At 45.2% G+C, this 19,486-nt stretch overlaps 1 protein-coding gene across 6 annotated transcripts in view, besides 2 other annotated features; it reads left to right on the top strand.

Moving 5' to 3' along the window:
- PRKN (parkin RBR E3 ubiquitin protein ligase) overlaps nucleotides 1-19,486 on the top strand; it is a 1,380,350-nt gene that overhangs the window by 1,304,500 nt on the left and 56,364 nt on the right. The window lies entirely within an intron of this gene.
- Nucleotides 6,831-7,356: an enhancer, noted in NCBI's record as "H3K4me1 hESC enhancer chr6:161836943-161837468 (GRCh37/hg19 assembly coordinates)". NCBI's record gives its function as "activates a minimal SCP1, AML or CMV promoter by ChIP-STARR-seq in primed H9 embryonic stem cells {active_cell/tissue: H9 hESC(primed)}" and the evidence as "EXISTENCE:reporter gene assay evidence [ECO:0000049][PMID:30033119]".
- Nucleotides 7,357-7,882: an enhancer, noted in NCBI's record as "H3K4me1 hESC enhancer chr6:161836417-161836942 (GRCh37/hg19 assembly coordinates)". NCBI's record gives its function as "activates a minimal SCP1, AML or CMV promoter by ChIP-STARR-seq in primed H9 embryonic stem cells {active_cell/tissue: H9 hESC(primed)}" and the evidence as "EXISTENCE:reporter gene assay evidence [ECO:0000049][PMID:30033119]".

Here is a 19,486-nt window from a genome sequence, read left to right as displayed (position 1 = left end):
TACTAGTTGAGAAAAATTAACGTGAGTGCCTCCCTATTCATTTGGGGGCCACGTCTTCTCAGATGAGGACGTCCCAACCAAACCCATGCAAGGCTGGCATACATTAAAGATGCTGATATCTCACACCCAGTGCAGCTGTCAAGTCTGCTCTAAGAGTGCTGCAGCTCCTGATGTTTCAAGGCCTTCTCATAGTGCGTGCATTTCTCACTACGATACTGACATGTAAATGGATTTATAGGAAATATAAATGCTTTCTAAAAGACACAAATAAAATGTCTGAATGCATGCCCAGCTTGTCTCATATTTTGGTCCACATGCTGTGAGTGATGTGGCAGTCGATGTCAGCCCTAGAAAAGGGCTGCTGTTGGCGTCTCGATCATTGGCATCATCCCCGTTTATTTATTGAAGTCTGGAATGCAAGGTCAGGGCACTGGGAAATTACCAGCCTAGAAGAAGTAGCTTTGAAAATATGTCATTTGCCTCTGGGGCATTTTTTCCTTTTTCTCTCTTCCTTCCTTGCTCCCTGCCTGCCTGCCTTCCTTTCTTCCTTCCTTCTTCCTTTTTTCCTCTATTTTTCCTTCCTATTTTCCTCTATTCCTTTCAAATTTTCTTCCTTCTTCATAATTCTTTCAGCAGAGAAAGGGGGAATAAAAAAGAAACAAGAAAATGAAGCATAAACAGAGCATCTATGAGAATATAGGCGTTAGTCAAAGAAAGAGAGGAGATAGGTGTAAAGTTAATTTTCTCAAGATTTTATTTGTGTTGTCTGGCCAGGCACAGTGGCTCATGCCTGTAATCCCAGCACTTTGGGAGGCCGAGGCAGGTGGATCACTTGAGGTCAGGAGTTCAAGACCAGCCTGACTAACATGGTGAAACCCCATCTCTGCTAAAAATACGAAAAGTAGCTGGGTGTGGTGGTGGGTGCCTGTAGTCCCAGCTGCTTGGGAGGCTGAAGCAGGAGAACCACTTGAACTCAGAAGGCAGAGGTTGCAGTGAGCCGAGATCATGCCACTGCACTCCAGCGTGGGCAACAGAGTGAGACTCCATCTCAAAAAAAAAAAAAAAAAAAGATTTTATTTGTGTTTCCTTAGTCGGTTATTTTGGGTTATTACTGTTTTACTTTCAACTGGAACTAAGTAGAATCCTTGGCTAATAAGTTTTATGTGGATCCTGCCACAGTTATCTCAAATGATTTCTTGGAGTAAAACTTGAAAAATATTTTCCTTTACTAGATTATGTTTCTATAATGATAACTCGTTAAACAGAAATGCTACATAGAAATCCAAAGAACTTCAGTTGTTCTTTTCTATCAAAATTCTTTACTTCTGAAATTCACTAAATTCTAACCTTTTTCCATTATCATAGCCACTCTGTTGCTGAAGAATATACCAAGAATTTCTTCAACACCACTGATAGTAAATCTCTGACTATACTGAATCCAGAATTTCAAGAACGTATTTCAAAATTTTAACTTTTTAAAAAATACTTTTTAAACTCTTCATGTGATTTCTTCTGTGTAGACCCTGCACAAAAGTTCTTCTTATGCTAACTTTATACTATCCTTAATTTTTCCCTAAATATCTAATGTAGTCTCTTTAGAATAATATACAACAGCCAGGGTTGGAAACAGTTCAAGGGGTAAACGTCTCTATCTGAACAAACTCTTCCTGTGATCTCCGGAGTCCCCTCCATTCCCCCGTTAATGCTACATGGGGAAAGGAAGTTATGCTGTAACTACAGAAGATACAACATACTCTCTATCCACCCTCATGCTGGTCCTGCTTAATTTTTAGTGAAGATCAAATGTGATTTCTGCATGAACTCAGGACATTGGTTCTGACCCAGAAAGTAAACTCCAGGCCTAACTGCCAAATACCCAACTCCCTTCTAACCACTTTTCTACAACTTTTGGATGGAAATTCTATATCTACTCATTAATTGTCTAGAAAGGACTGATTTTTGCCATTCAAAGTCACCTGAGAATTTCCATTTATGTTGGGAATTCAGCACGTTTCAATTAATACTTAAGTACCCCCACTCAAGCATCAATTCAAAATCAAGATGAGGAATGCCTCAACTCTCCTGGTGTGGGGTATGGGCCCTCGAGTGCCTGGAGGGTAAAGGCTCACCCAGGTGAACTTCACATGATTTTCTTACATCATCACTCAAAGGCATAAGGACCAGGAGGATCCTTCCTTTCTCTACTTAGTTTATTGCTTTCTCTCTTGCTGTCCTTTTGTGCTCCCTGTCTCCAATGGTTCACATACAAAATTAGGGGTTAGCAAGGAATAGGAATTTCAGAGAAGCAAGCTCTGTGGAGTTGAGGAAAACCACAAATATTGTAGCACATGATTTAGTACGGCAAATGGAAAAAACAAGATCCAGCAGCCCGGCAAATTCTCTCTTCAGCTATGTGACCTTGGACATGTAACTTCATCTTTGAGCTTTCTTCATTTGTAAAATCAGGATCTTAATTTTTAAAAAGTAAAGAAAACTGAGGCTGATGTGGGGGGGAAATCACTGGAGCCCAGAAGTTTGAAACCAGACTGGGCAACATAGGGAGACCCTCTCTCTACAAATAATACAAAAATTAGCCAGGCATGGTGGCGCGTGCCTGTGGTCCCAGCTCAGGACGCTGAGGTGGGAGGATCACCGAGCCCAGAAAGTGGAGGCTGCAGTGAGATGTTATTGTACCATTGCACTCCCGCCTGGGTGACAGAGCAGAATCCTGTCTCAAAAATAAATAAAGAAAGAAAAAAAAGAAAATAAAGGAAACTGTTCATCATGCCAAAAGCCCATGAGCCATGCCTGGCACCAACAGTTGGCATCTCTGTTCATATATAGTCATTTTATCCAGATAAACTGAGGCCACTCCAGCCCTTGCACCTTTGAAAACTGCTTAAGACTAACTCCTGACCTCTCATAACGCATTTCAGAAAAGAATGCTTTATTGCATATTCATTACTCTTAATTTATTTCAAAAATCAGGGTTTTTTACTTTATCAAGTTCTTTTTTTTTTTTTTTTTGAGACATAGTCTCGCTCTGTCGCTCTGGCTGGAGTGCAGCGGCGCATGATCTCGGCTCACTGCAACCTCTGTCTCCTGGGTTCAAGCAATTCTCCTGTCTCAGCCTCTCAAGTAGCTGGGACTACAGGCACGTGCTACCACACCCAGCTAATTTTTTGTATTTTTAGTAGAGACGGGGTTTCACCGTGTTAGCCAGGATGGTCTTGATCTCTTGACCTCGTGATCCGCCCTCCTCAGCCTCCCAAAGTGCTGGGATTACAGGCGTGAGCCACCACGCCCAGCCTTATCAAGTTCTTAAACAAGTGCCTTTTACGTGCCAGGCGCAGTGCTAGGAACTTTCTTAAACACGGTATTTGAATCTCTACAGCAATCCCACAAGTAGGTACCAATTTCCCCCTTTCACAGTGAAATAAATGGAAATTCAGAGATGGTAAGTGAACTACTCAGAGCCACTATCAGTCGGAAGTAGGAGGACTAGAACTGAACTCCGGCCTGGCTAGAATTATTCAACACAAGCAGAATCTAATTATTTCCCTTACAAAAGTCAGAGGAGGCTGGGCGTGGTGGTTCATGCCTGTAATCCCAGCACTTTGGGAGGCAGAGGTGGGCAGATCACTTGAGGTCAGGAGTTTGAGACCAGCCTGGTCAACATGGTGAAACCCCGTTTTTTAAAAAAATACAAAAATTAGCCAGGCGCAGTGGCGTGTACCTGTAATCCCAGCTACTCAGGAGGCTGAGGCAGGGGAATTGCTTGAACCCAGGAGGTGGAGGTTGCAGTGAGCCAAGATGGCACCACTGCACTCCAGCCTGGGCAACAGAGCGAGACTCCATTTAAAAAAAAAAAGAAGAAGAAAAAAGAAAAAAGGAAAGGCCCTCTGTGTTGTGGTTAGGACCTCAGGTTCTAGGGCCAAAAATCTCCTGGTTGACTGCTAGTTGGTCACTTTCTACCACTGTGGCGCAGGGACCTCACTGTCCTCTTTAAACATCCATTTCTTCATTGTAAAATGGTCACATAAGTGGGGGAACAGGTGAGATCACGCACAAGAAGCATCAAACTCTGTGTAGCACGTTAGCTCGTAAAGGATTCTCACCATTTTCATTGCATAGCTACGCATTTAGTGAACACTAATGACCTTACATATTTGTGTGTCACTGTGTGAACTTATAATTCCATGTCCTTCATGTAAACGATGTGTTTACATCCAACGTATTTTCAGAGACTCGCTTTACTGCCTCACTTCTAATTTTCTATGATATACGATTGTTTCTGTGTAGGCAACACCAGACATTGTTTTCTGATTTAGGCTGGAACGCTAGAAAACTCCACCGCCTGTATGTGAAAATGCCAATGCATTTTATAAGCAAAGTCAACCGCAAAATGTTTATAGGGTCAGGCAGTTAGATCTGAGGTACAAACATGGTTTAGAAGGAATTCTTACAATGGTGCTAAAGCTCTAGAAGCAAATACTATGTGGGAGGCCATAGAAAGAGTGAATTGTTGTTCACACTTCAGCTTTGATTTGGAGACACCTGTGAAAGAAAATAATCTTTTTCCCAGTACTTACTGGTTATTTTATTTCCAGAAAACATGCTTGTTATTTTAGCCGAGGTAATTGCCTTGCCTTTCGGGTATGGTTTGTGCTAAATGAACAGTGACACCTACTGGCGGAAGATGATCACGTTTATTTACTAAAAGAAGCTCCTGTTCTCACTTTGCTGGGTATAATCCCAGAAATAATACAGAATGTTTTGATTTCAAAGAGCAAAGAACCAACACTGGAGTTAAAAAGAAAAATCAAACCACGTCAAGGCCGATACATGAATATAGACAGATTCACTTTCTGGAGTGAAGATTGCTCTTTTCTTCTCTAAAAATGCTGGGTTCCCCCAACCACCACCACAAAAATAAGCTTGTCAGAGCTGCTCCAAGTAAGGCAGTTCAAGTGCCAAGGAAAGATGTTTGGCTTGACACACCTGTTCTTCTTCTCTCCGTGGAGTAAACAGATTGGCAGAGGCTGCTTCAAACACGTTATCTGTCTAACTCATTACATATTAATACTTCCAAAGTAAATCTCTCCATTCTGTAACTTTATTTAAATATTTTTATTAATATACAGTAATACTTTTCCAGATGGCCTTATCAGAAGTTTTAGTGAGAATAAGCAGCTGAAAACACAACAGCTGCTCTGCTGGCAGCCTGAGAGCCCTGCGCTGTGATACTGCCAGGCCCCCCATGGAGTCAGCCAGGCCTGGGGGCCAGGCCCAGGAGGGAGCGTGGGAAGCCAGCCTGCAGCTCCCAGCATTACTCATGCCCCTGGGTGGGCCACTGAGTCTGCGTCTAGGTTTGGAGTGGAAAGTAGGAGGTCTGTCTACATTCCCCCAGCTCAGCTTTGCCTAGGGCCCTGTCCTTGGGGGATTATTAGACACTGTTGATTTACAAAAGCTGGTATTTTCATCTAATTTGGTTCTCTAGGTCTAGAGGTTAAAACCCAGGGGGGCCGGAGGGATGACTAATTGGCAGCCTAAATTTCCAATGTGTTGTGAAAGTTATTTAACCTGAGTTTCCTTGCCTGTGAAAATGTGTGTATTGAGTACTGCTGTGACAATTACAGGAAACAATAGATGTAACCCCCAGCCCCGTGAGTTTTTTCTTTTCTAAGACACAAACCCCATTCTCAGAGTTATGGGAGAAGGTACATTTATACACTTTAATTCAGAGACCTTTAATTCAGAGATTAAATCAATAGCGTGTGGTCTTGGAGGCATTAGATGACTTTTTTTTTTTTTTTTTGAAACGGCGTCTGGCTCTGTTGCCAGGCTGGAGTGCAGTGACGCCATCTCTGCTCACTGCAACCTCCGCCTCCCAGGTTCAAGTGATTCTGCTGCCTTAGCCTCCCGAGTAGCTGCGACTACAGGCAGGCGCCACCACACCCGGCTAATTTTTGTATTTTTAGTAGAGACAGGGTTTCACCATGTTGACCAGAATGGTCTTGATCTCTTGACCTCGTGATTTGGCAGCCTCGGCCTCCCAAAGTGCTGGGATTACAGGCGTGAGCCACTGCGCCAAGCCCGTTAGATGACTTTACAGGCCATCAAAAACCCGCTGCCATCAGAAACTCTGGACCCACAAGCAAGCTCTCTTCTTGCTCTTGGCCCAGGTCTGGAGCTTGAATGAGGGGTGAGCATGAGCTAGCATAGCCACACCTCCTACTCCTTCCTCGGCCCCATCTCCCTCCAGAGTTCTTTCCTCCATCTTCCTTTCTTCTTTCTGGTACCTCATTCCAGAGCTTTAGCTGCTTCCCCAATAGACGTGGCTTTCAATGCAAATCCTGCATTCTGACCTCTCTCCTGGGTGCTCAGCATCTGCTGGACGTCTAGATGGGGGAGTCTTCAAAACGCCAAGGCCCCTGGGCAGGAGGACGGGTGACAGTTCGGTGTGTATCAACTCCGTAGCACGGTTGATACAAGCCTTGCCTTGAAGCACTTTGTCTTATGGTCAGAACCATGAACCATCCTTTCTGGCCCATATTAATAAGATTAAAAGCTGGTAGCTTGCCTTTTTCCCTGCCTGGTTTTTATGAGCAAATATAGGACACTGTCTCCTGCGAGGCAGCAGCGGATGAGGCTGGTCGGGGGTCACTGGTAAGAACGGGTCTCTGTTGCTATTACTCTCTGTTGGTCTGCCTGGGTTTGAATTTGGATGCCGAGAGCTGATGGGCCTATCACTGGAGTGACTTTGGGTGAGTTGTTTAGCAAATATATGCCTCATTCACACATTTATTCAACAAATATGAACTGGCATCATCTACGAGCCAGGTCCTGTTCTAGGCACTGGGAGGCGTCAGTGCTCAAAAGAAACAAAGTTCCTGCCCCCCAGTGTGTGCGCTCTCCTCGGGGGAAAACAGACCGAGAAAAACAAGCCCAATCCGTCATCAAGCTCTCCAGTTATGTTAGAGCAGAGGTGGCCGCACTTTTCAGTAAAGGGCCAGGCAGTGCGTCTGTTAGCTCTGAGGGCCACTGGTCATTCTGTGAAAGTGGCCACAGACAATACACGAACCAAAAGGTGTGGCTGTGTCCCAGTAAAATGTGATTGTAAAGTGGTTCGCTGACCTCTGTGTCAGAGCATTTCCATAGGCGCCGTGGAAGCAAAGCGGGGGAGTCCAGTTAAGGCGGATCTGCTGCGCCTGGGGTGGGAGGATGGGAAGAGCAGGTTGAACTTCAGAGTAAACTTCATCGAGAAGGTGCGATTTGAGTAAAGACGGGACCCGGAGGGAGCCAGCTGGGTGGGCACCTGCAGGATCCCAGGGCATTCCCAGTCGAGTGACGCAGGATGAAAGCCCACGGCATGTTCTGGCACATCCAGAGAGCAATGCAGCTCCAGGAGACACTGTGGGGAGAGAGGGACGCAGTGGGGAGGCCTGGTGAGGACCCCTGGCTCTCATTCCCAGTGAAATGGGCAGTGGCGGGGAGTGAGAGCAGAACTGACAACATCTGAAGTCCTGCTCTGACTGCTGTCTGGGACGAAGCTCAGGAGGGGCCGGGCAGACTCCAGGAGAGATTAGACTATTGCAGCAACCAGGGCAGGAGGTGGCTGTGGCTTAGTTCCGGGCGGTCGGGGGCTGGCGGGGGGTCGGGGGGGGGGGGGGGCGACATTTCCTGAGGATTGTAAGAGAGGCGTGAGAAAAGAGTTATAACACCTGGAAGGCTCTGCGTTTCCTCATCTGTGGCTGGAACAATCACTCTGCCGCAGGATTATCTGAGGATCAACTAAGTTGACTCACGTAAAGGGTTCGGCACATGCTTACTACTTAGCCATTGCTCAGTTCATGTAGGTAGTGTCGTTATTGTTTATTATGATGATTATGGAGTTGTTCAAATCTAGATTTGACTCTAAGCTAAATCACCTACTAGCCAGAGGATCTTGAAAATGTTCGTAATCTTGGAGTCTCAATTCCCCACGTATATAAAATGAGTTTAAGGCAGAAAATGGGGAGGCCTCTCTGCATGAATGGTTCCTCGCGGACACGGTAAGTTGTTACTGGGTCTGACTAGGTCTCAATTATGTGATCACCACTCTCTTGGTGCCCCTCTCCGGTGTTATTCTGTATTCTGTTGAGTTAGCCATGTTCTCCCCAAGTCTCTTTGGGAGCAGACTGCCCTGCAGTCAGGCCACAGAGCTCTGGAGTCCTGTGGACTCCACACTCACGGTGAAGTCGTGGGTAAGAACCAGGTGACGCTCCGCAGAATGGCAGGCTCCGTCCTTCCCTCTGAGGAGCTGCCAACAGTGTGTAGGTGGAAGAAAGTGAATTCCTCCTATGCCTAGCTCCCTTTCAAAAGGCATTTAATTTCCTGTGACTGATGAGAGAGTTTGTATTTGAAACGGAAGCCTCTTAATTTATAGCCCACAATAATAGAGTCTGGCAACTACAGACCCTCCCGGTGCTGTTCAGCGGCTGCCCTGCCTGCGGAGACCCTCCTCTGGTGGAGAAGCATAATGTGCCTTTCATGCCTTTTGCACTTTGGGGCTTCATCAGGAAAAGATGACCTTACTCAGTTAAAAAAAATCCTCTTCATCAGATGTGCAGTAGCTGTGAAACATCAAGAAGAACACATGCCATTGAAGGGTGACACCTGAATTACCTGCCATTTTCTATTTTTCAAAACAGTCTCAGCCAAAAGGCTAGAAGTGAATAAATAATTCTACCACGACTCCTCTAAATAAGATTTTAGCACTCTGTTATTTGCTTCGAACAGGAGATCAGAGAACATTTGAGAGTGGCACTTTGCATTTGGGACATGGCACGGAAGCCGTGGCTGGAGGCCAAGGACTGTCTCAGGCAGAAACCTTTGCCTGGGGCCTCGGGTGCATCTAAACAGAATCTGGGAATAAATACCAGGACCTGACACAGAGCGCCCGAGAACACAGAGACTGGCCGCTGCCTGTGACAAACAACGCTGAACACCCTCCAGCCTTCCGGAGAAGGGTGCACGGCTCTGACATCTGGGGAGAAAATGCTGGAAAGAGCCTCTTCTGCAAAATTGTGCATGGAGATTGAGAGCATAGTGTCGAGTTTCCACCTTGTTGAGAGTTTGTGCTCCAGAGAGCCATTTGCAGCAAAGAAAGAGAGAAGTCTGAATTAAAATGACACCAGTACCCTGCCCTCACTGACCCTCCCCACCTCGGCCCAGGACACAGTGCTGTCGAGGAGTTTCACGTCCCACCGCTCTGCCTGGCTGCTTCTCTCAGGCACCCCTTCCTTCCTGGAGTTATCATCTCTTTCTGCCACCTCTGCCTCGCTTCCCTTTCCACAGTCTCCTCTTCAGAAGGCAGGAAAGAGAAAGGAACAGCAGCTGGGTGAGGCTCACCCTGCCTGACTTCATGCTGTAAATGCTCCCTGTCCTCTCAGGAAGTTTCCCTTTTAATTAAAAATTGCATTTTTGAATGAGCTTCCTCAGAGCTAGGGAGCTGGAACATCTCATTTGTGTGGCATTATCCTTGTTCTCAGGAATGGCCATGTGGCTTCCTTCTCAGCTGGACTCCTGTGGGAAGCTGTGAACAGAAGGCGCCCTGAGACGTGCTCAGGTGTCCCTGGGACCCGGTGCAGCCCATGCCTCTGTGAGCTTCATCTCATGCCAACACCCCCAGTTCCCAGGCTTTCCTGGCCCACGCTGCCATCCCACCATGGCCAGCGTGCCCACATGAGCCCGCCAGGTTCCGGCCTTCTCCCCCAGTTCTCACTGCAGCATGCCCACTTGGCTTCCATTCCCAGCTGGCCAGATCCCTATGTCCTCTCTGATGTATTCGGTTACTCTGTGTTGATGCACTGGCGACCTGCTGCAGCTGTCATTCCCTTTGCTGCAGTATGTGTATATGAATTCTTCTTCTAATGGAAAGAGACTCAGGAAGTGAAGGGAAAGCGGAGGGAGGACAGGACCCTGGCAGTGGAACAAGGAACAGGAATGTCACGGGGAGTCTTACAGACCCTCCAGACCGTGCCCTGGAGGCCAGTGTCCGGGAGACAGTGGGTTTCCACAAATAAATGGGAAGGGGTCCCACGACCCTAAATGCACATTCCTCCGCCCCTCAGACTTCCACGTACTTGACCTCCTGGTGTTATTTAGGTGTTCAGAAAAGGTAATATAATTTCCAAAGGAGCTGAATTTGCTGCCAGAATAAAGCTCAATCCCTGCGAGATTCTAGTCCAGCAGTCAGGAAGGCAGGCAAGAGCAGACAGAGCCTGTCTCTGATTACTGTTCCTTCTCCAGCACAGGCCACAGGGACACGTGCATAGCTGCTGCTTAATAAGCTCTTGCTGACTGAATGAGTGAGGAAGGAATGAGTGAGTGAAGGAATGAGTGAGTGGAGGAATGAGTGAGGAAAGAATGAGTGAGTGGAGGAATGAGTGAGGAAGGAGTGAGTGAAGGAATGAGTGAGTGAAGGAATGAGTGAGGAAGGAATGAGTGAGTGAAGGAATGAGTGAGGAAGGAATGAGTGAGTGAAGGAATTATAGAATGGAGGAATGAGTGAGGAAGGAATGAGTTAGTAAAGGAATGAGTGAGCGGAGGAATGAGTGAGGAAGGAATGAGTGAGTGGAGGAATGAGTGAGCCGAGGAATGAGTGAGTGGAGGAATAAGTTAGAAAGGACTGAGTGAGCGGAGGAATGAATGAGCGGAGGAATGAGTGAGGAAGGAATGAGTGAGTGGAGGAACGAGTGAGGAAGGAATGAGTGAGTGGAGGAATGAGTGAGGAAGGAATGAGTGAGTGGAGGAATGCGTGAGAAAGGAGTGAGTGAGTGGAGGAATGAGTGAGGAAGGAATGAGTGAGTGGAGGAATGCGTGAGAAAGGAGTGAGTGAGTGGAGGAATGAGTGAGTGGAGGAATAAGTGACAAAGGAATGAGTGAGTGAAGGAATGAGTGAGTGGACGAATGAGTGAGCAGAGGAATGAGTGGAGGAATGAGTGAGTGAAGGAATAAGTGAGAGGAGGAATGAGTGAGTGGAGGAATGAGTGAGGAAGGAAGGAATGAGTGAGGAAGGAAAGAGTGAGTGGAGGAATGAGTGAGGAAGGAATGAGTGAGTGGAAGAATAGTGAGGAAGGAATGAGTGAGTGAAGGAATGAGTGAGTGGAGGAATGAGTGAGTGGAGGAATGAGTGAGGAAGGAATGAGTGAATGGAGGAATGAATGAGGAAGGAATGAGTGAGTGGAGGAATGAATGAGTGAATGAATGAGTGGAGGAATGAGTGAGGAAGGAATGAATGAGGAAGGAATGGGTGAGGAAGGAATGAATGAGTGGAGGAATGAGTGAGGGAGGAGTGAGTGAGTGGAGGAATGAGTGAGTGGAGGAATGAATGAGGAAGGAATGAATGAAGAAGGAATGGGTGAGGAAGGAATGAGGGAGGAATGAGTGAGTGGAGGAATGAATGAGTGGAGGAATGAGTGAGGGAGGAATGAGTGAGTGAAGGAATGAGTGAGTGAAGGAATGAGTGAATGGAGGAATGACTGAGTGGAGGAATGAGTGAGGAAGGAATGAGTGAGGAAGGAATGAGTGGAAGAATGCATAAGTGGGGGAATGAGCAAGGAAGCAATGAGTGAATGGAGGAATGAGTAAGGAAGGAATGAATGAGTGGAGGAGTGAGTGAGAAGGGAATGAGTGAGTTCGCAGACAGACACTGTGTTGGTCTCTTAGGCATCCCTGTCGCCATGGCCCCCAGACTCTCTGACTGTATTAGTCTGTTCTCACACTGCTAATAAATACATACCTGAGACTGAGTAACTTATCAAGGAGAGAGGTTTAACTGACTCACAATTCCACATGGCTGGGGAGGCCTCACAATCATGGCGGAAGGCCAATGAGGGAGCAAAGGCATGTCTTACATGGCGGCAGGCAAGAGAGCATATGCAGGGGACCTCCCCTTTATAAAACCATCAGATCTTGTGAGACTTATTCACTACCACAAGGACAGTATGGGGAAAGCCACCCCCATGATTCGATTATCTCCACTTGGCCCCACTCTTGACGTGTGGGGATTACTATAATTCAATGTGAGATTTGGGTGGGGACACAGCCAAGCCATGTCACTGACCTAGAGCCTCCAGGGTCTCATGAGTAAAAACAGAGGCCCTAAATCCTGCCTCACAGTGAAACTAGAGTTTGCCAGCATCCCAGAGGCCCTGCACTGGTTTATATCACCGCTGATAATATTAGGTTTTTTATCTGAAAAATAAAATCTACTACAGGGAAGCAGGATGAGTCAACTGCCTTCCTTCCACCTGAGGAAACCGGTTTCAGGATGAAACTTCCTGTTTAGCCAGATTTTGTAAACATGATCAAACCATCGAGTGGCCCTTTCTGTTATTCTTATGGGTAGGTGATGAGTTGCTTTGCTTGGTTTTAAGGAATCCCATATCATTCTGAGGATTCAACGTTCTGCCCATACCTGAGGCTGCTGCCATCAAGCCCCTTGGCGTGCCGTTGTCATGAGCACCAATGATGCATTTCCCATGGCACTGTTGCCCCTCCCTCACAGTGACCCCGATTCTCTTCCCTGCATCCTCCCCATCCTCCATTCCATGTTTCCCCAACTCCATCTGCTTCCTTGTAACCAACGCATGGCCCACGATGAGCACCAGAATGGAGGAAATAGCTCGCCCTTCCCCTCTCGCTGCTGTGTGTGTCCAGCTCAGACCCGGGCTCCTTAGAGTATCTGCCAGGAGCAGGGCCTTAGGGGACCAAGAGCTTGCTGTGAAACCTGAAAAGCTCAAACCAGCAGCCCCCTTACAGTTGGTTGGGAAGCCCTCATCCTTACTTAAAAGCTGGTGCCACTGTTCATAGCTCAGGGATTGTACGTGCTTCCCCCAGGCCAGGAAAGGACTGAAAAAGAGCTGGGCCCAGTGGGTATGAGCGGGGCTCAGCATGGCGCTCACATCAACCACCACTCCCAGATACACTGGAGGAGGACACAGCAGGCCACCAGCTCTGGGACAAGGGCTACCAGCTGAGACATGCTCGTACTCTCACTCATGTTCACTCTCCTTCAGATTCCTGGCCACCCACCTGCCCCAGGCCCCCTGCCACAACTTATGCAATCCTTCCCCATCCCCTTCTTCAAGGGCAGCAGACACTCAAAAAAAGTGCCAGACCGCTGACCCAGCAGATGCACGGGCTGCCCAGAGCCTACACCTATGATCTTTTGCATCCTAGCACAGGTACAGGAAAGGTCACTGTGCCTGGCTTAGCACTTTTATTCATGATACACATGAGACAGAATTTAATCTTCCTGTTTCAAATACTCCCTGAAATATTTTCCAATTCTGCTTCTCACCTGAAAAGCAAGACAGGGTAAACTTTATGAGAATGGATCTGCTACTCAGATTTATATAGATACATCACAGTTCTATTGATCTGAGGAATGCTGAGAACCTTGGGAATTAACAGAAGGCAGACTGCCACTGGGCCTGCGCTTTCTTCAGGCCGGTGCTGAAGGGGTTGTCATCTAACAGCGACCTGACTCTGAAAGAACACTGGGTTTGCAGCACGTGACCTCAAATTGGGTCTTAAATTCTTATTCCATGGATTGCTGTTTATTGCAAAACATCACACCAAGGTTGGGCTTGCTTTCATTTTTATAGTGACGGCCTTATGTGATTCCACTGAACATTCTGGCAATCTAAAAATATCCAGCAAGCACACCACTTTCCTTTGAACTGAGAGGTGCTGTCAGTAGGAAAGCTACTTGTCTATGTCCTGAGAAAGGGGCACTCTGGAAAGACTGGGTCCTTCCGCATTTTATGTATTAGTGTCAGCACACTGCGTTTTTGTGTGCCATTTGGTAATTTCTTCTGGAAAATCCTACTCAGGGAGACATATGGCCGTTATAACCTGGCGCTTTAGAGAACACACAATGCTGTCATCGTCTCAGAGATTTTCTGTCCAAAATGCTTGTAGTAATGAAGAGTATTCTCAACCATTACCACAGAGTTTAAAAATGTGTTCTCCTGGCCGGGGGTGGTGGCTCACACCTGTAATCCCAGCAGTTTGGGAGTCCAGTGCGGGTGGATCACAAGGTCAGGAGTTCGAGACCAGCCTGGCCAATATGGTGAAACCCCATCTCTACTAAAAGTACAAAAATTAGCTGGGCATGGTGATGGGAGCCTGTAGTCCTAGTTACTTGGGAGGCTGAGGCAGGAGAATCGCTTGAACCCAGGAGGCAGAGGTTGCAGTGAGCTGAGATTGCACCACTGCACTCCAGCCTGGGCAACAGAGCGAGACTCTGTCTCAAAAAATAAAAATTAAAATTAAAATGTGGCCTCCTTAATACAGCATCTGCAAGTCTTGCTGCATGCTTGTGAATTACTTGGGGGGATAGCATATAAATGGGCAAAGTCCACCTCATTTTAGATAAGATTTCATTGGCTATTTCCTAATGTTTTATTTTAATGAAATAATGAAAAGAGATGTCATTGTGGATTCTTTTTTAATGCCCATGAATGGTTTCTAGTGACATTGTATGGGGACAAAACATACACAGCAGATCTTGCCACCAACAGCATTCCCACAACTGTTTTCTTCCTGCAGATCCTACTTGCATTCCACACATGTCCACTCCCGGTATCAGCCTCGCCGACCCCCTGACCCATGGCACAGGCTCATCAGCCCTCAATATTGTTAAGTGGAAAAATGAAAGAGTTTTTATTATTACAAAAGTAATACATACTCATTAGACAATGTCAGTAAATTGTACCAAAAAAAAAAAAAAAAGGAAAACCTAGAAAACAAACATAATCCCACGTGGCTGGACATGGGATTTTTGACTCATTGCTGTAGAGCTTTCTAGATACGTTTTACATGTATACGCAAACCCACATGTCCGCAATTTTAACAGAGACGAGTTTATGCTGATGGGCTTTTTTTTTTTTTTTTTTTACCAGTTTTTCACCCTTAATTGTGTGTCACAAACATCTTTGCATTTCTCTAACGCCATGTTTAATGATGACCATTTGTCAGGGTGTGCCATGACTTATGTAAATGTGTATCTTGCGGAATGATGATAATTTTCCCACGGCCGAATTTTTCCTGTGTTCCTGACTTTTCTCTAAAAAGAAAAATTCCTAGAAGAGGAAGTTAGAGAGTCAAAGCATGTGCATGTTTTTAAAGCTTTTGTCAAGCCTGTCCATGTGAAGAGACCACCAAACAGGCTCTGTGTGAGCAATAAAGCTGTTTATTCACTTGGGTGCAAGTGGGCTGAGTCCAAAAAGAGAGTCAGCGAAGGGAGATAGGAGAGGGGCAGCTTTATAGGACTTGGGTAGGCAGTGGAAAGTTACAGTTAAAGGAGGTTATCTATTGTTAGCAGAGGAGGGGATTACAAGGTGCATGGTGGGGAGATCATAAGACTCATTGTCCGAAAGAAGAATGTCACAAGGTCAACTGATCAGTTGGGGCAGGGCCAGAACAAGTCATAATGGTGGAATGTCATAAGGTTGGTCAATCAGTTATGGCAGGAGCTGGCTGTTTCACTTCTTTTGTGGTTTTTCTTTGGCTGCTTCAGACTTCTTGGCTCCTGCAGGCCATCTGGACGTATATGTGCAGGTCACAGGGGTTATAATGGCTGAGCTTCGACTCAGAGGCCTGACAGCTTTGCATCCAACACTTATCCTCAACTCTAAGAAGTACCTTTTTGTGTATTTTAACATTTCTGAAATCAGGATATTGTAAATTGATGTGGATGTTTACAATGGTAGTATGATGGAGCTTTTCTTTCTTTGGTCAAGCCACTATTAAATTGAAGGTGCTTTTTACCATTAATGTCATCTTAGAATGGAGGCATTTCAGTCCTGTTAAATTACCTCCCAGCAAACAATTGTGCCAGTGTGCAGAGCCTCCCACCGAGTGCAGCTGCCCCCTTCCCCAGCCCCTCCCTTTTCAGCTTTGCCAAATGAGAAGCAATATTGTTTCTTATTTATCAAGTCAGTGCGTTTCTATATTTATGACTCACTCATGATTAATTACCATTAACATCTCTCTTAGCAGTTATAATTTTGGTATGACTTTTTGTTTTCCATGTAGATTATGACTCTGTAAAAAATTGTGAAACCATATTTATAAAAATATAAAGACATTTTAATGACAAATATAGCATACTCATTATAGAGGCTTTTATGTAAATATAATTTGGTGATCTTAATTTGAAATAAATCTTAATTAAATTTCTCTGAAGTCCCATTTTGTTAAAAATATCCAACGAGCCTAAACCTTGGCTGGCCTAAGCTCATGATGTTTCCAAGTCAGCAAGAAGCTCTGTCCTTACCCGTAGCAGCAGTGCCGAGACGCTCCTCTTCAGTTCTGTCTGCATTTCCAAGTCCATCAATGATGGTGCAATTGTGTTGACATAATTCATTGCCTGAGAAATGCTTACAGATTTGCAAATTCCAGATTGTGGTAACATGATTGAACATGACTCGGCGTGAATCACTGATTGACAGAAACAAGTTGTATGTACATTTGAAATGCTTGCTCATCACTGAACACAAAGAGAGAAGGATCCATTTTGCCTGCAGAGAATGGAAATGACTGGGGCCAAAGGAGTTTTTGTTGAAAGTCACTGTATTGCCATTAACCCAAAACATATTTCCTTCGGGCTAATACTAAGAAGCCACTTTGTTGTGCTATATAGAGCATTGCACTCAAAATCCTGTGGTTACTGATATTATAAAGCAGAACTTAGGGTACCATTCAAAGAAACAAAATAGGAAGTTCCTATCAAGTTACAGTGATTGAAGCATTTAAAAAGTTTCTATATACTGAGCAGACATCTCGCCCTAAAAGAAGAACTTGAAAGCAACCACCTTACGTTTTTGGTGGATTTGAGAAAAATAGCTAAAATGTGCCCATAGTGGATCAGCACCCTTTTAGATAACATCAAACTAAACTTCATGACTTTGAAAAAAATTGAGAAAAGTAGATGCTAAGTGGGAAGATTTTACTGTAAACCAACACCTCAAATCAAGTGTGTGTATATATATATATGTATATATGTGTATATGTATATATGTGTGTATATATGTATGTATATATATGTGTATATATATGTGTGTATATATGTATATATATGTGTGTGTATATATGTGTATATATATACGTATGTATAAAGGAACAAAACATAAAGCCAGGAGATTGTGAGGGTCATTTCCATCCACAGACCAATCCCCAGCTTCCCTTATCAGGTTCTTTCCCAGTGCTCTTAAGGAGGTGGGTTTACTCCCATGCTGAGCCAGTGTCAGATATATGTTTATTTTAGATCCTTGAAATTAACTTGACATTCCTCTTCAGCAAAGAAAAGCATCATTTTCCAAATTAGTGGGAGCAAAAGTCTACTTTAAAAGAAAAATCTATTTGGACTGCCAAATTGGTAGGAACAGGCATAGACTTGGCAGTTAACCCTTCTGCTGATCCCCTGTTGCCACTTCTCAAATGGCCCAACGGGTACGAGACTTGGAACACGAGCCTGCCTGGCTGTGAGCACTCATGGACCCTCAGTTTCCCTTCCCTTTCTCCTGGAAGCTGGCCCAAAATGCTGATTATGGTGGACCCAAATTTATTTATTTATTTATTTATTTATTTATTTATTTATTTATTTTTAATTTTTATTTTATTTTATTTTTTAGACAGGGTCTTGCTTTGTCACCCAGGCTGGAGTGGGGTGCAATGGCACGATCTTGGGTCACTACAACCTGCACATCTTGGGTTCAAGCAATTCTCCTGCCCCAGCCTCCCAAGTAGCTGGGATTACAGATGTGTGCCACCATGCCTGGCTAATTTGTGCATTTTCGGTAGAGACGGGGTTTCACCATGTTGGCCAGGCTGGTCTCGAACTCCTGACCTCAATTGATCCACCTGCCTCAGCCTCCCAAAGTGCTGAGATTACAGGCATGAGCCACCATGCCCAGTCAGACCCACTTTTAAACAGCAATTTTGAAAAAGAGGGGCATGAACACAGGATGGCAAATGACGACTAATGACTTTTCCCCCAAATCCCATTGTAAATCTTGTCACTGTGTGACCAAGCCTATTTCACCCACTGCCATTTGTTCCTGGCCCATAATAAAGTAAAGGCCTGTGAGATATTTGGAGAGATAAATCAGCATTCAGTTTAAAGAGTCAGAGCTGGAGGAGAAGGTGGGAAGCAATGTTATCATTTAGTCTATCTTCCTGCCTTCAATGAAAATATAAAACATTAAACGTATATCAGACCATCCCAGTAAGAGAAGAATTAGTCCCCCTTTTTATGACTTTACAGAAACATATACTTTTCTGCTGGAACTCCATTCCATTGCAGTATTTACGGCTTCGCATTCTGTTTTTAGAAGTATGTTGCTACCGACTTGAAAGAGGATGTCAGGTTCTCTGTAGCAATAAAGGGGCAGGTGTGGCCATCTGTGCCATTTCAGTGACTTATCTGAATAAGCATTTCAATCCTTAGAAACAGAGCCTTCCCATGGAAAATGCTTGATTTTGACTTGCGTCATTGTGCAGGGAGTGATATACACCATGATAAATTTTCCTGCAGAAAAGTCTTTCTGAACACAGAGCCATAGAAATGAATTCTTACAGATAATGTAAACTTAGAGACACCCTGACACATTTTTGTTCTCTTAATTTTGAATCTTAACTAAATTTTGCAGATGCCATTGGGGTCACTGAGACAAGAAACTGCGTTCAGTGGCTCATGGACACTGATGATATTAGCTCAATTTATAGAGTTGTCTTGTTTGCGTCTTGATGAATCTTGTTTACCCTTCAAGACACAAAGTGTCACTGGGGCTGTGGAATTTGGACAGACTGTCCAGGGAGAGCAATCATCTCCTCCTCTGTGACTGCTCTAACCTCTGTCATCCCGTCTATGCGTTGCCACACAATTTTCTGTCTAGGTGCCTGTGTTCTTCTTTCTTTTCTTCCTAGAATAAACCTTTATTAAGCTCCTACTCAGGGCCAAGTACTTAGATAGCAGCTCTCAGAACACATGGGGTGAGAGAGCTGGGAACTTGAGTCTAGTAGGGATGATGGATAAGGAAATACCCAGTGCAGGGTGGAGGGATTTAGGATCAGGTCAGTACAGAGTGGTGAGAACACACAGGAGAAACAGCAAACCCAGGCCTGGGGTCAGGGAGGTTTGCCCAAAGGGATTTCCTAATGGGGAATCAGAGTACTCCCTAGAATGATCTCTGTTGCTACATGGAATACCACAGACTGGGTAATTTATAAAGAAAAGTTTATTTGGCTCTTGATTCTGGAGGCTGGGAAGTCCAAGAGCATGATGCTGGCATCTGGCCAGGATCATCCCACAGCAGATAGGCAGAAGGGCAAAGGCATGTGTGAAAGAGAGAGAAAGGTTTTTAACAAAGCTCCTCCCACAGTAACCCACTCCCACCTCACAGCATTAATGCATTCATGAGGGTGGAGCCCT

Source organism: Homo sapiens, chromosome 6 (genome assembly GCF_000001405.40).
Source record: "Homo sapiens chromosome 6, GRCh38.p14 Primary Assembly".
NCBI classification, from domain to species: domain Eukaryota; kingdom Metazoa; phylum Chordata; class Mammalia; order Primates; family Hominidae; genus Homo; species Homo sapiens.
The sequence above is the reverse complement of the archived record's forward strand: the minus strand, read 5'-3'. Positions and strand labels throughout refer to the sequence as shown.